The 15,631-nt window shown below is 44.5% G+C and overlaps 1 pseudogene, besides 1 other annotated feature; it reads right to left on the reverse strand.

Moving 5' to 3' along the window:
• Nucleotides 497-606: a silencer, noted in NCBI's record as "silent region_20850". NCBI's record gives its function as "represses an Ori minimal core promoter by ATAC-STARR-seq in GM12878 lymphoblastoid cells {active_cell/tissue: GM12878}" and the evidence as "EXISTENCE:reporter gene assay evidence [ECO:0000049][PMID:35858748]".
• Nucleotides 6,670-7,417, reverse strand: LOC100420318 (melanoma antigen family A, 12 pseudogene; annotated as a pseudogene).

The raw sequence follows: 15,631 nt of genomic DNA on the forward strand, positions 1-15,631 counted from the left end.
TTTGGAAAAGAAAAAGAAATAAACAACAATATTGACTGTCTGCTTAACCAGATTCCACAGAGAGACAGAGGCCTGGAGCCTGACTGGTAAGAAATCCTTACCCTTTTGATAGCTCATCGGGACCTGGATTCACTTGGCTGTGGGTTTCAGGAGAGCAGAGCCTGCTCACAGCGTCAAGCTGTAGGAGCCAAGGGAAAGTGTCCCCTTTGCCCTCGGAAGGTTCGCTAAAAAATCAGCTCACAATGGCAGATTGATTGCAGCAAAGGCATAGAAACTTTATTGATGTGTACACGGGGGCATCACAGAGGTTACAGAAAAAACGTGGGTTTAGGGAATGGCCACAAACAGGTTATAGTGGTAAAACAGGTTATAGTGGCAAGACAGGTTATGGGAGAGAGAGAAAAGGAGGCCTGGATAGCAGGGGTGGTCTGGTTATGTAGAAGAACCCTCACAGTTAGCAGCCCTCAGAGAAAATAGATGGTAAGTGTTGCTTTCCAATCTTTAAGGTGTCAGAATCTTAGTTCCTCTTTCTTAGGACCCAAGGAGGGAAGGCTTGGCTTAGTTTATGCAAATTGCTTACACATGCAAATTTTCCCCACAAAAGTCAGGTTTGCAGGGCTACCTCTTCTTGCTGGCTCTGTTTATATAATCTCCAATTATGTCAAGGAAATATATTTTGGGCTTTTTTTTTCCTTCCTTATGATATTCTAAATTATGGGAACTTTCCTGCTGAACTAGAGTTTCTGGGGAAGGTCCATGGGGCCAAGAATTTGCCATCCCACAGGGGGTGACAGAGCCGGCCATTTGGTTCATTGAGATGAGGCGCAATTTTAGTGTTGGATGTGTACTTGCCCTAAGTCCTGTAACAAAGCTTTGACATAATAATCACACCTCCTCACTGCATTTCAATATCCATAAATATTAATAAGTCTTCTGAACGATTATCTGTTTCCTGTACTAATTGTTCACTGTATAAAAAAGCTGTTTTGAATATTTATATAGATTGTCAGGATGTGGACTGGGACTTTTTGTCAATTAACTATACTGACTGATTATGTAAACATCAGTGTGTGAACCTGAAATATCTTGCAACTTGTCTGTGTACATGCACATATACATATATATATACACACACATATATACATACATACAGATAAGAATATAGCAAGGCAATAAGCTATCCATTTAATTATTATGAAATTTTAATGATAAATTTTGTTTCAATTAGGCTTTCACTTAGCATTGAGATTTCATTTTTCTCCACTAATTATCCTAAATATGGACTCTGTATTTAGCTACTATTTTCTTGATTTAGAAATTGAGGGTTATTCTCACAGATGATTTGCCAAATAACATTTTTTTTGTCTTTTGAAGAATGATGTTATGAAATTTGCATAATATGAAATTACATGACCTTTAAGGATTTAGCTGTACAAAATCTTAGAAAATGTGATAAGTGTGGGCTTTGGGTGAATGGGTTGAGAGAATGTGTATGCAATCCCCCAGACACCCTAGAGTCTGCTGTGTCCCCAAGAGAGCAGACTAGATGGCAGGCAACTGGGGTGGACCGGAAGGGAGAGGGCAGCAGGCAGGAGCACTCATTGTCTGGAGGCCATGGTCAGCACTGTGGTCCTTGTTCTAAGGCCAGTGGGAAACCATTGGCAAAGTTAAGTCAGGAGAGTGACATGACAAAATTTGTGTTTGTAAAGGAGTATTTAACCACTATCAGGTTGAAATCACCAGAGGTGGGTGGGTGGGTCTGTGCTGCTCCTGGTGGGCTACACTGAGGAGAAGCACAGCATCAGCCCGGGGTGTTCCTGTGGTGAATGATGGGTCTGCATCTGCCCAGGAGAAGACAGTGGGAAGCTCCAGCTTGGAGTCACCTCTGCTCTTTAGATCTGCCAAAGTTGTGAAATGACTGGACAGTCCCAAGAACAGCTCGAGAAAAAGCTGGATCTGAATAAAAAGGGACATTTGTCTCTCGGTCCAGGCAGTGACTGAAGTGGATCTGAAGATTGGATTATGTAACTGAGATAGGCCCCAAGAAGATTTTCATCTTACTGGGGAAAGGGCCTACAAGACAGCGAGAAAAATCTCTGCTAAATTGATTAAATCCATTCCAATGCTCCTTCCAGAAAAAAATTGACTGGAAGGCTATACAGTGATGCATTCAGAAAGAAAGTGAGTCTGTGTTGTGACTACTTTGACTGATTTTTAAAAACTTTCCAACAAGACTATGGTATCAAAGATCTAACTGATGATACCATAAATCATTTTAATTCACTTATCCTTTCAGGTCTCAATGAAGCCCTTAGTGCTTTAGCTAAACAACATAATCCCTGCTAAGCTTCAAAGAGACCCATGAAAAGCTTCCCTGGCTGAATGCCTCTCAAAAACCATGCAAAAAGAAAAAGAGGCTAAAGCAGAAATGAGGAAAAAGACTGCTAAACTTGTGGCCTTATATATTCAACAACTCAAAGCCTCAAATCAGCAAGCCCCACAAAATAGACAGAAAGCAGTAGCCTTGTCTACTTTAAAGGGCATGATTTGCTTTGCCTGTAAGGGTCCTGGCTATATAAAATTATATTGGGAAAAGTACAAACAATGGCTTCAGAAGTACTCAAGTAAGGCAAGGAATCCCTCTTACTCGCGAGAACTTGTAAGAGAAGTTTTTGTTGGGTAAAACTGAGGACTTTCTGGGGGAAATTAGGGGGATTTTTTTCCTTTCCTTTCAGTTAATTAAGTAGGAGAAGCTGGTCTTAAAATCAACAGCAAATTAATCTGAGCTCTAGTGGACACTGGAGCTCTGCTCTTGGTGCTTACCCTCAACTCCTTTTCAGACCCCCCCTCCTTAGAGTAATCAAACAATTGAAATAGTGAGGGTTGCTAACCAAACTATGACCGTCTTTAAGTCTGAGCCAGTTTCTTATCAATTAGGGCCCCTTGCCGGCCAACACAGTTTGTTGTTGTCCTCTCTGCCCCAATCCACTTGATAGTGAAAGATAATCTGAAAAACACCAAGCCCACATTTCTTTCACCCACAAGGGAGATATCATCTTAGAAGTCTCCCCAACCAAGGTTTCAGCCTCTAGTGTCACTCGCATCTTCTCCCTGCTAGTTTCTAGCTATGTAGTTGTCACTGAACACCCAGTTCTATAGCAACTGCCTGAAACCCTTTGGGTGAAAGCGGATACAGATGTTGGCCTGACCCATTCAGCATCACTTATTTCTATACAGATAGACACTAACAGCCCTCTTCCAATTTTAAAACAATGTCCCCTCAATTCTGAAGCTTGAGCTGATATAGAATCTATAGTCGGTTGTTTCATTTCCCAGGGACTCATAGTCCTCTACACCAGTCCCTGTAATACATCCGTTCTGCCAGTCTGTAAGCCTAATGTGAATGAATGAAGATGCATCCAGGATCTTAGAGCTATCCACAACATTGTCTGTCCCTGACACCCTGTTGTACTTGATCCACAACCACTCTTACCCAAGATTCCTCCTGACACTCACTGTTTCTCCACTGTTGATCTCTGCAGCGCCTTCTTCAGTCCTCCTGTCAGCCCCAAAAGTCAGTTTCTTTTTGCCTTTGCTTGGAAAGGCTAACAATTTACATAGATGATGCTTTCCCAAGGATACACCAAAAGCCCTTCCCACCTTTCCAAGATTCTGCAGGCTGACCTAAAAGAAATAACCTTCCCAGATAATTTGACTCCATTACAATATATTGATGTCTTGCTTTTATGCTCCCTCTCTCAAAAGGCTTGCCACACTGACACTCGCCTCTTACTTCACCAGCTAGCCCTTAAGGCACACAAGGCTCTAAGACAAATTATATTTTTGCTGGGACTCCATCAAGTTCCTTGGGCATCAGGAGTAAACATTGACTTCACCTGCTTTCAAGGCATATATTCTTTTCCCTTGCCCAATGCTAAAAGATAACTGAGGGGTTTCTGGGGACTTGTGGTCTGCCATAGAGCTTGGATCCCTAATTTCTCTTTGATGACACAACCTTGATATACTTCGCCTGAGGCTTCTCCCCAGACTCCTTCACTTGTACTACCAATGGCCAAAAGCCTTTAAGAATCTCAAGCATCAGCTGTCCTTGCCTCTCATGTTGGGACACCTTAATTATGACCTTCCTGTTTCCCTTCTCATTCTTGAATGAGGGGGGCCTGTGACTAATACCTGGTCCAGCTGACAGGCAGAATAACATGCACTTACCCCAGCTTGCCTGTTAGCCAGAGATAAAACTGCAGACATTTGCACAGACAGCAGATACGCTGTTGGGGTTATCCATGACTTTGGAAACAGAAAATTTCTGACCTCTTCTAGACAGCCTACCAAAAATAAGGATCATGTTTTGGCACTTCTTGATGCCATTCTGGCTCTTAGAGCCCTGTCTACTATTGAAATCCAAGGTCACTCCTCTGAGAATATAGTAGAAAGATAGTAGGGGCAACCACCTGCTGATGCTACAGGCAAGACTGCAGCCCTAAATGGTACCACTTCTGTTATCCCTGTTTCCATTCAAACCCTACCCTTACCCATTGCTCCTTCCAAAAAACTTTTCTCCAGACTCTCTTGGTCTCAAAAGATGTCCGCAGATGGCAAAAAAGGAAAAATGGGCAAAACAGGGTTATACTTACAAATCATAATCCCAGTTATGGAAAGGACTTAACTTTCATCCTGTCCTTCCAGAAAATTTACAAAATTTACAAAAAGCCACCCTTGCCTTTAAACATAACCTCACCCATTGGAGCCCTTACAAAATAATCCAGTGGGGAAAACAGTACAATTGGGGTCCTTTCCTGATGGTTGCTTCTCAAGTCTATAAATGATGCAGAATCTGTTATTTGTATAATGCTGGGAAGCCCCCAAAGGCTGCCTCCAGAGAATTCCCATTACCAAATGGCCCTTTTGCAAACTAGTACCCCTCCTCACTTGGATGCAAGTATGTACTTGAGATGATAGATATGTACTCCCATTCGGTAGAGGCCTTTCCTTGCAGACAAGCTATGGCCATGATATTAGCCAAAATTCTTTTTGAGAGAATTATCCCCACTTGGGGAGTTCCCACTGAACTCCACAGTGATTGTGGACCCCAGTTTACTAGCCAAGTATTAGAAAGAGTTTATGATGTCTGACCTTTTCTGCAACACTTCCATTGTGTCCACCACCTACAGTCTTCTGGGCTTGTAGAATGAATCATTGGGATAATAAAGAGCCCATTGCCTGAGATTACAAACACTCTTAATCTGCCCTGGCCTAGGGCTCTCCCTCTAGCTCTGTTGATCCTGCTACCTACCCTCTCTGGAAAACACCACCTCTCCCTTTTGAGATTGTCAGCAGGCCAGTCCATGCATTTACCTGAGGGAATGTTTTACCCTACTGTTACAAGGAGACCTCCTGACTTACTGCCAAGGACTTGTTAAGGCTTCAACGACTAACCATAAACTGGTTGTGGAATCCTTCTACAGTAGCCCATCAAAAGATGAAATCTGATACCATGACCTCTAGCTAGGAGACTTCATTTACTAGAAAAGATGCCAGCTAAAAGATTTCTTCGAGCCTTGCAGAAAAGGCCCATTCCTGGTACTCCTGACTAAACCATGTGTTGGTAAGCTACGGGTCATTGACTGCTGGATCCACATATCCCACCTACAAAAGGCACTTGCAGATGTCTGCAATTCAGCCCCAATACCTGATACCAAATGTAAGGTGGCTGGAGCCCCAACACCAGGATGAGAAGAAGCCCATCATTGAGGGAAACTGCTTCCCCCAAGACTCTGGACCAGACCTGAATCCAGATGAAAGCTTACACTCCCTTCACAGTGGTTATCACACTCATTGCTTTAGGAGTTTTCAGAGTTGTTACTAGCTTATGTAAAACAAGACACATAGCTTTGCTTTGCTTATTTAAACCTAATATGCCCAGTCATTTTGCATACTTCATAATTCTGTTAATGATAGAAATGTAGGAATCTTATGTATAGCAGACATTTTATGTCATATGAAAGGAATTCCATGTATTCGTATATTTAGATACCTGTAAACCTTCCTTGCCCAACCCCATTCACGGTCCCTAAATCTCTTTCCTCTAGAACACATGATCCCCACTCCAGAAGGCATTGCCCCTCGGCCTCTTGTCAGCCGGACACTTTACTACCCTTTTAGAAGGGCAATAATCCTACCAAATTAAGGCTCCACCCTTACAACCTCATTTAACCTTAATTACCTTCTTCTGGGCCCTACCTCCAAGTCACTTTGGGGGTTAGGGCTTCAACTTATAAATGCTGGGGAGACACAATTCAGTCCATAGCAAACAGTGATGGAACACCATGTGTGTTCCCCTCACACATGCAGCTCTTCACTACTTCTCACTACAGCATATTTGAGTGCCTACTTTAAACACAGAGTGAATTACCTGCCTCAGCCTGACTTATGTTTGCTGCTGGCCATAGCACGGGCACCAGTTGTACCACTGGCAATGGCCCTGGCCCCTGCACACTCCATGGCATTAGTTCCCCTATTCCCTGAAATCCTGGCTTGGACTTTGTCCTGATCTTCTCTCAGGACCTCTTTGCACACTGACCTGTAGGACCAGAAGTCAACGTGAATAATCTTGTCTGCAAACCCCAAAATGTACACGGTTTTGGGTTCAGTGTGGTCATGAGGGCCCCACAGGAATTTGTAGCATATAGGATCCCTGTTGGGCATCTGCCTCAAATTCAGATATTGTTGCGCAAAACATCTTCAATGAAAAGCTTTCTGGGCCTTTCAAAAATGATGTGCTTCCTCTCAGCATCTTCACCTCTCTCAGCATATTCCAGATGTCCTCTTCAGGAGCAAAGTTGCCCTCCATGAAAACTAGGTCTAGAATAACAGTTTGGAGCAAGCCCCAGTCTTTACTCACTCAGTCTCTCAGCAGAGGAAAGTTCCACTTTGTTGATGAGGATGTCACATTGCTTCCTGGCATCCATGTTCACTTCCTCAACTCAAGGCCAAAGAGTACTCCAGGCTCTCAGAGGCTTTGCTGAGGGCCTCACGGAAATGATCCATGTGCTGTTGGATGATGTGCTTCAGCATTTCTGCCTTTTGGGTGGGCTCCTTCTTCTGGTTCTCGAGCAGGAGGAACACCTCCAACTCAGCCACATTACTGCTCAAGAGGTCCCTGGGCCTGAAGTCAGCAAGTGGTGGGGCCTATGGGGCATGTGGCCCTTGCTTTTCCTTGTGGCTGCTTGCTCCCTCACCTGAGCTGTTCCCTGAGGGAAGTAAGGTGGCAGTGGAGGTGAAACGGGGATTCCAAGGACATGGAGGAGCAATGAGTGTCCCACCAGCAGGTTTCCCCTTAGCGGCCTGTGATCTGATAACAGGAGAATGGGGAGAAGGCCTCCTCCTCAGCCTCAAGAGCCTGGTTCTCACCTTAGGCCTGGCAGTGTGAGGGGCCTCAGCAAGAAATCTCTCCCATGGATTGGAGGAAGGCTGTCTCTGCCATTTGTACTTTAGAATACTGACCCAGACTTTGATCCTTCTCATCACTCTATTCCCTGAGACCCTAGGAGATACAGTGAACTAGCTCCTCAGTAGCAAGCAGTCATTCTCTGGGCTTCCCAGCTTTGACAGAGGAGCATCAGATGGTGGCACATTCAGCCTGTATTCAGGGGTCATCGCCTTGGCGGTTGGAAGGGCATGTCCTGCTCAATCTGAGGCTGCCCCCGTCAAACCACCACAGTCTCCACCCTCAATAGAGAAAACTCAATTTTACCCTTCAACCGAAAACCCCCAAATACCGGCAGTAGAATTAGGAGAGAACTTGAAACCATCTCTCTCTACTTCCTGTGGAGGTGTGGGAATATCTAGGAGGACTGAGGTGGATTTATCCTTCTGGGGTGCACCTCAATCTCATGGATCGAGGCTACCTAAAGCTCTCATACTCCTGGACACTGAGACTGTACTTGGTAGGATCTGTGGAACACCTGAGCTCTATTCCTGGGCTCTGAAGGTGCTCACAGTGAGAAATGCCCTGCATACATTGTTGGCCTATACCCTGAGACCTGAGACCCCAGGAGGAGTTGGGGGGATGCCTCAGGTTCAACGAAGCCATTCCCAGGAGCTGATGGGGATCAGCAGGGATGGGACTCCATGGGGTCCACTGTGTGATGGGGTGAACAATCCCCTTGGTTCTCACTCAGGGTCTTCACTTTGACTCCAGGCAGGGCCTGCACTCCCTGCCATCTGCTGACCTGAGGACTGTCCCCTCAGACTAAGGCTCTCACTTCCTGTATATCTCTGAGGAGACAGTGAAGGTAGAGGACTCCCAGAGTGAACAGCAGGGGCCAGATCATGCTGGTTCTCTTCTACTCTGGGGTGGTGGTCCCCTCAATCCTCAATAAGGGTTCTTACCTCAACTCAAGGCAGGGCCTAAGCTCCATCCAATCTGCTGACCTAAGAACAACTCCTTCAAACCAAGCCTTCAACTCCATGAGAGTCCAGAAAAGGAAGCGACAGGGGTCTCAGCTAAACAGCTCTGATCAGGGCCTCCTAGGGCTGAGGCCAGGGCTGGAGTTGTGCAGAGAACCCTCTGGTCAGGCATGTGTGGCCCCCTTAGTTCTTCTATTGTACCTTGTGGTAAAAGATTACATTGTCCACGGAAATGCCTAGAGAAAAATCCTTGCCCAGAGAGAGGTCTGGCTGTGGTTCCTGGGACGCAGTCTCTAAGCCCTTGGGATGTCTTGCCTGATCATGGTGTCCATGTTTATCTGGAAACCTTAGGCCGTGCTGGATAGGCTGTGCTGAAAATGACTTATGATGGCAGCCTTGGGTCACATGGTAGTAGCTCGACCTCCAGAGGGGCTAACGACTGAGGTTAGTCAAATGGGTTTTCAACCATATCGACCTAACTGAGCCTCAATAAAAACAATGGGCACAAAGGCTCAGGTGAGCTTCTGGAGTTAGCAATACTCCATGTGTACTGTCATACCTAGAAGTTAGTGCTGTCTGGGACTCAACACAGAGAGGAACGCTGGAAGCTCTGTGCCTGGAACTCCCTGGGCTCTGCCCTGTGTGCCTCTTCTCCTGGCTGATTTTAATCTGTATCCTTTCACTGTAATAATCCATAACCATGAGTATGCCAGCTTTCTGTGAGTTCTGTGAGTCCTTCTAGCACATTATCAAACCTGAGGTGGGGCTTGGGGACACCCGAATTTGCAGTTGGTGTCAGATGTGAGGGTGGTCTTGGGGGCTGCTGAACTTTGCAGGTCTCCACCTTGACTCCTGGTAGGATCTGAGATTCCTTCCTCTGTTGACCTGATGCCTTTGCTGTCAGGCCCCACCGCAGAGAAAACACCGAGGAGGAAGTGATCATGCCTGTCTTCCAGTAACCTCTACCCTGGGCCTCTGAGAGCAGATAGCACAGGTGAGGGTCTCTGCACCTTCTGGTTTGCTTGGTCTCCTCCATCCTCCCTCAGACTCCTCAGCTAGACTTCTAGGAGGACCTGGGTCTCCTCTTTCTGCTCACTTGAGGCCAACCCCTTAGATCCAGTCTGAGCCACACAGAGAGCCTCTTTAGGAGAAAGCCAGTGGAGGCCTCAGTGAGATAGCCCTACTGGGGGCCTTGCATGGCTGACCACAGAAGTCAGATTTTGTGGGACCCCCTCTGTTCTGGGGTGGGTTGTGTCTTTCATCTTCATCCAGGGTCTGTGCCTTGATACCTGGCAGGGAATGGGTGGCCTCCCTTCTGCTGAACTGAGTCCTCCACCACCACTTACCCAAGGCCTCACCATCCTGAGACACCTGCAGGGAAGCAAGGAAACATTTCATCTTGTTAGCCCTGCCCGGGCTTTCCAGAGCCAACAGCAGGGGTGGGACTCTAGCATCCTCTCTGCTCCAGAGCGACTGATCCCCTGAATACTCACTCGGGGTCCTCACCGTGATTCCTGGAATGGAATAGACTTTCTCTTTTCTACTAATCTGAGTCCTGACCCCTCAGACCATGGCTCTCACCTCCAGGAGACCTCTGTTGGGGAAGTTGAGGAATCTCATCCTGCTTGGGGTCTCCAGGGGATGACAGCAGGGGCCAGCCAGACTCCAGGGCCCACTCTATCTGGCTTTAGTACAACATGGGTCCTCATGCTGTGGTCAACCCCTTGGCTGCAATCAGGGCCTGGGATCCATTGCTGATCTGAGGCTTCTGCTCCGAAAACCAACACCCTTACCTCCCAGTCTCCTGAGGAGGAGTGAGGATGCACTGCCAGAGTCAGTTGGCCTCCCCTTCCTGGGATCTTCCAGGGCTGACAGCAGGGCTGGTGGTGACGGAGCTCTATAGAGCCTCATTTGTTCTGAAGGTAAGAAAGTTTTCTGCAGGAATGAGTTCTGCTGCTTCTCCAGAATGCAGTCAGACTTGTTCTATCTCTTTTCCTTTCCCTTCCTCTATAGCATGTGTGTGTGTGTGACATTTTCATGTATACGGGGATTGATTTCTGGACCTGCTATACTTTTCCATTAATCAGTTTATCAGTTCCTAATCCAGAACCACACTGCTTAACTGTTAACTGTTGCATTAACTTTGCTATCACTTAAGCCAATTCCCTGTTCATTATCTGCTTTTCTTCAGTCCGGTCTTGGCTTTTTTTTTTTTTTTTGAGGCAGAGTCTCACTCTGTCGCCCAGGCTGGAGTTCAGTGGCATGATCTCGGCTCAGTGCAACCTCCACCTCCTGGGTTCAAGCGATTCTTCTGCCTCAGCCTCCCGAGTAGCTGGGCCTACAGGTGTGCACCACCACACCCAGCTAATTTTTGTATTTTTAGTAGAGATGGGGTTTTACCATGTTTGTCAGGCTGGTCTCGAACTCCCGACCTCAGGTGATCTGCCCGCCTTGGCCTCCCAAAGTGCTGGGATTACAGGCATGAGCCACTGCGCCTGGCCGGTCTTGGTTTTATAGCTGTACATAGCTGTGTATTTATTTGTCCAGGTCACTTTTAAGTTCAATTATAATCCTAAACATGTTCTCATATCTCATGCAGGTTTTATTAGAATATGACATATTTATAAGTTCAGAATTTTCTTGGCCTTCGTTAAAGTTTTTCATTTTCATTTGTTTAACAATGGAACCATTTTACCTATGTTTATTTGTAGATATATTATTATTTAAAATTACTGTTTGGAATGCACTCATTTTTTTACTCTATTCTAATTTGTGATAGGTGGCATATAGAAAACCATAAACTTTTGTATAGTTATTTGATATAATTCCCACTCAATAAACTCTTGATATTTTTCCATTGATTCTCCTACATTTTATTTCTCTTGGTGGATGATGAAATTTTCTGAAAATGGTGATAAAATTTTGCTCTCCTATTCATTATTCGTATCTATTCTTTTTGTTCCTTTCTTAGTGAATTGTGTAGGATCTGCAGTAAAGTCTTGACCAAAGTGGTGATATCAGGCATCTAGGTTGCTTGCCTTTGTTGGAATTATCCTGGTGTTTCACTATCTAATACATTGTTGCCTTTTAATTCTTATGCCTATCAAGTTAAACATGCTTTGTTTTGTTCCTAATTTACATAAGATAGTCGTTTAAAAAGTCATTTTAAAAATTCAACATTCGATCTTAATGACATTTCTCATTCTTATTAATGAGAAATGTCATTAAGATCGAATGTTGAATTTTTAAAATGACTTTTTTTTTGTCATTGATCCAAGTGGCATTCCCCCCCGCCCCATCTTCACCCAAAGGCATGGGTCTGGTGTTTCTGCACATCTTCTGAACAAATGGCATTTACAGCTTTGTTTGAGGATATTTGCAAAGCTGTTCCAGGTCAGGAATTGTATTTGCTTACATTCCAGTGTAATAATGCTTGAGTCTCCTCCCCAACCCAGAGACATTTCAAGGAGATAATGTCACTCTCTCAGTCAAAGGGCAGATTTGTTTCCAAACCAGAATAATAATGATAATGGCTTCCTCCAGGGCAACATTGGGTCAGGTTTGCTAGCAGTGCCCTTATAAGATTGGGCGATTTCTAAGTTCAGAATTCCTCAGCAGTGACACAGACCACCAGGTAGGACTTGGGGAACCACAGCAATTGATGTAAACATGAAGCTCATGTGGCCTGCCATGTAATGCATAAAAAAGTGTCCAAATCCATTTGAACTCATTGTCTCCTTACTCTCCGTACTTACGGAAATGTGCTAAGCCAGCCTAATGGCTCCTTGAGTACTTGACTCAAATATTTATAGATGTTAGAATTTTGGGGTGAAGAACAATTTTGTGGAATCTGTCAGCGATAAACCACTTAAGAAAGATGAAGAAAGAGAGTTATATGAAAATCAGAGCTCGGTACTTTTCACTTTTTGGAAAATGAAATGAAATATTGAGGCAGGATGAACATATTTAGCAATAAAATAATTTTTTGTTGTTTTTCTTCCAACTTTTATTTTATATTTGGGGGTACTCATGCAGGTTTGTTACACAGGTATACTGTGGGCTGCTGAGGTTTTAGATGTGATTAAACTTGTCACTCAGATAGTGAGCATAGTTCCCAATGGGTAGTTTTCCACCCTTTCCCCTCTCCCACCCTCCCCATTCTTCCAGTCTTTAGTGTCTATCGTTTCCATTTATGTTCATGTGCACCCAATGTTAAGCTCCAACTTGTAAATGAAAACAAGTGATAATTGGTTTCTTGTTCCTGCGTTAGTTTGCTAAGGGGAATGGCCTCCAGCTGCATCCATGTTGCTGCAAAGGACATGATTTCATTCTTTTTTATGGCTGTGTTGTATTCCATGGTGTTTATGTACTACATTTTCTTTATCCAGTCCACCATTGATGAGCATTTAGGTTGATTTCATGTCTTTGCTGTTGTGAATAGTGCTGCGACATTTTCTTTATCCAGTCCACCACTGATGAGCATTTAGGTTGATTTCATGTCTTTGCTGTTGTGAATAGCGCTGTGATGAACAACATATGGGTGCATGTGTCTTTTTGGTAGAATGATTCGTTTTCCTTTGGGTATATCCTCAGTAATGGAACTGTTGGGTCAAAAGATAGTTCTATTTGTAGTTCTTTGAGAATGAAAGCAATTTTAGAAACTGCTGCAGGCAACTGGAAGGAATAAAACCAGTTCAACAGCCACTTGATATGCTGTGCAAAAGTGGTGGACATGTTGGGGATGTGAGGCAAAGAATGGAGGACTGCCTTCAGTGCAAGGAGCAGTTCAGGTTATGATATGACTCCTGGTTCACATATTTTCCATGTTTCAGGGCAAGAAACTTCCAATGTATATCTCCACCTCTGAGGCCACACTGTAAATCCTGTTCATAGCCTGGGAAACATAGCAAAACCTCTTCTCTACAAAAAGTACAAAAATCAGCCAGACGTGGTGCTGCACACCTGTAGTCCCAGGTACTCGTGACTACTGTGACTACAGGCATGCAGCACCACACCTGGCTGATTTTTGTACCTTTTGCAGAGAAGAGGTTTTGCTTCTCTAAAAACCTCTGAGAGATGGGAGGATTGCTTGAGCCTGGGAGGTTGAGGCTGCAGTAAGCCATGATCACGCCACTGCACCCCAGCCTGGGGAACAGAGAGAGACCCTGTCTCAAAAAAAAAAAAAGATAGCCCTGTTCAGTTCCCAGGTGGAGGAAGATTTCCAAATACTGGAGGATAACAACCTTCCAGGGGACAGTTGTCCTCACTCTCTCCTCCCTGGAATTTGTTCATATTCACACCCTTCATCCATTTTCAGAGAACAGCTGACATCAGCAAGGAAAGTTTGTTTCTGCCTTCTCTCAGTTCATAGTCCTCATAGAGTGGGTCTTGACCCATGCCACACATTGCCCACTCCCAAAAGCAGGATTTGCAAAACAACTTGGGTAGCGGGATATGGGTAGAAGGGTAGGAAAAGGATGAGGAGGAGGGATAAAGTCAGCAAGTGCCTTGAGGACTGCACTCCTGTCATGTTGTTATCACCTGGCACTTTTACAAGCTCAGGATCAGCTAGTTTCCTGAACCCACTCAGGGATGCTGAGGTAGCTCTCCTACCACTCCCTCAGAAGGACAGCGCTTCCTCACTTCCACAGATGGCCTAAGACATCACAGACAGTGAATGGCATTAAGCAGTGTGTGTGTCATGAGGGATTAACATCTCAGGGTTCAGCTGCAAACCTGACCTAGTGGAGTGCCCCAGGGAACACAGGAGTGCCCCAGGCAGCTCAAGGTTAACCTCAAGGTAATCTCAGACTCCCAGAATCCTTACAGCAAGTCATTCTGAACACTCAGGGCCCAACCTGCTTGAGCCATTCGCTCATGTGAAGGACAACAGGACAGATGGAGGTTCCTATGTGGATGAAGAACAGGAGCAGTTCTCTAGGCAGGCTGGTGGGAGACGAGGATGTGTTCAGAAAGAGGAATGTCTAATTAGAGACTTCTAGCCCACATCTTTTCAAGTGAGTGAACTTGAAACATCTGTAGATGATGGGAGAGGCACAAGGGATTACCTGAGTCCTGTGAGGAGAGCTCTGAAGGTCGGGTGCTTTGACACAAGACCATTGGATTGACTGAGCAGTGTGGCTTGGAAAGATCAAATGTTCAAATGGCCTTGCCTGGAGCCACAGACACTTCACTTCAGTAGAAATAATAAATATGGGGTTTATATGGCTTTTTCTCATTTAGTTTTTCTTTCAGCATTGTTTTAAAGCAATTCACATTTAATCTTGGAAAGTTGACAAAATATAGAAGAGTCTTAAGCAGGCAACTTGTTGAAAAGGAGAGCAGCACAAGCTGCTCAATGTAACTGTGAGGTGGTTTATTTATCCACTCCACTTTTGATGGACAATTGAGTTATTGCCAGCTTATGACCATTATGAATAATGCTGCTATGAATACCCCTTTACATGTCCTTTCCTGAACATACACCCTCATTGCTGTTGGGTATATACCCAGGAGTTGAATTGCTGAGTCATAGGATATGCATTTGCTCAGCTTTAAGAGTTACAGGGGAAAGGTTTTCTCACGTGGTTGTACCAGCTTCTACTTCACTAGCCATATGAGAAAGTCCTGAGTGCTCTACATTTTCTCCAAAATGAGCTGTTTTTCTTCAATGTTATTTTAGCCATTCTGGTGTTTGTGTAATGGTTTCACACTGTGAAAATTGTGTAATGTGGTTTGACATTGTGAATGTTTGTGTAATTGTTTCATATTGTGGTTTTATTTCACAGTTCCCTAATGATTAATGAATCAATGATTAGTACCTTTTCATATGATGAATTGATGACAGTGTCTTTTCATATCGCTAATGATTAATGATTAATGATTAGTGTTTTTATATGTTTACTGTCTATTTCATAATGTCAGAATTTAGTGTTAAATTCAGAATGCCACTGGATTCACCATCTTCACTATAAACCCTGGAACTGACACAAGACCAACATAGCCCCAGTAACAGCCACCCTGATATGCTCAGAGACAAACTATTGTCTAATGCCCTTCCCACATTAGTATTCAAGTTGCTACAAGTAAGGTAGTTAGGTTGCCCAAATACCAAATCAGCTCATTAGAGAGCCATACCTCTACTCATTTATTACTCACCCTTCTATAACTGTGGGGCACCCAATGTCCCAATTCTGGACCCTAC

The sequence above is a fragment of the Homo sapiens genome, chromosome X (genome assembly GCF_000001405.40).
Source record: "Homo sapiens chromosome X, GRCh38.p14 Primary Assembly".
Classification (NCBI taxonomy): Eukaryota; Metazoa; Chordata; class Mammalia; order Primates; family Hominidae; genus Homo; species Homo sapiens.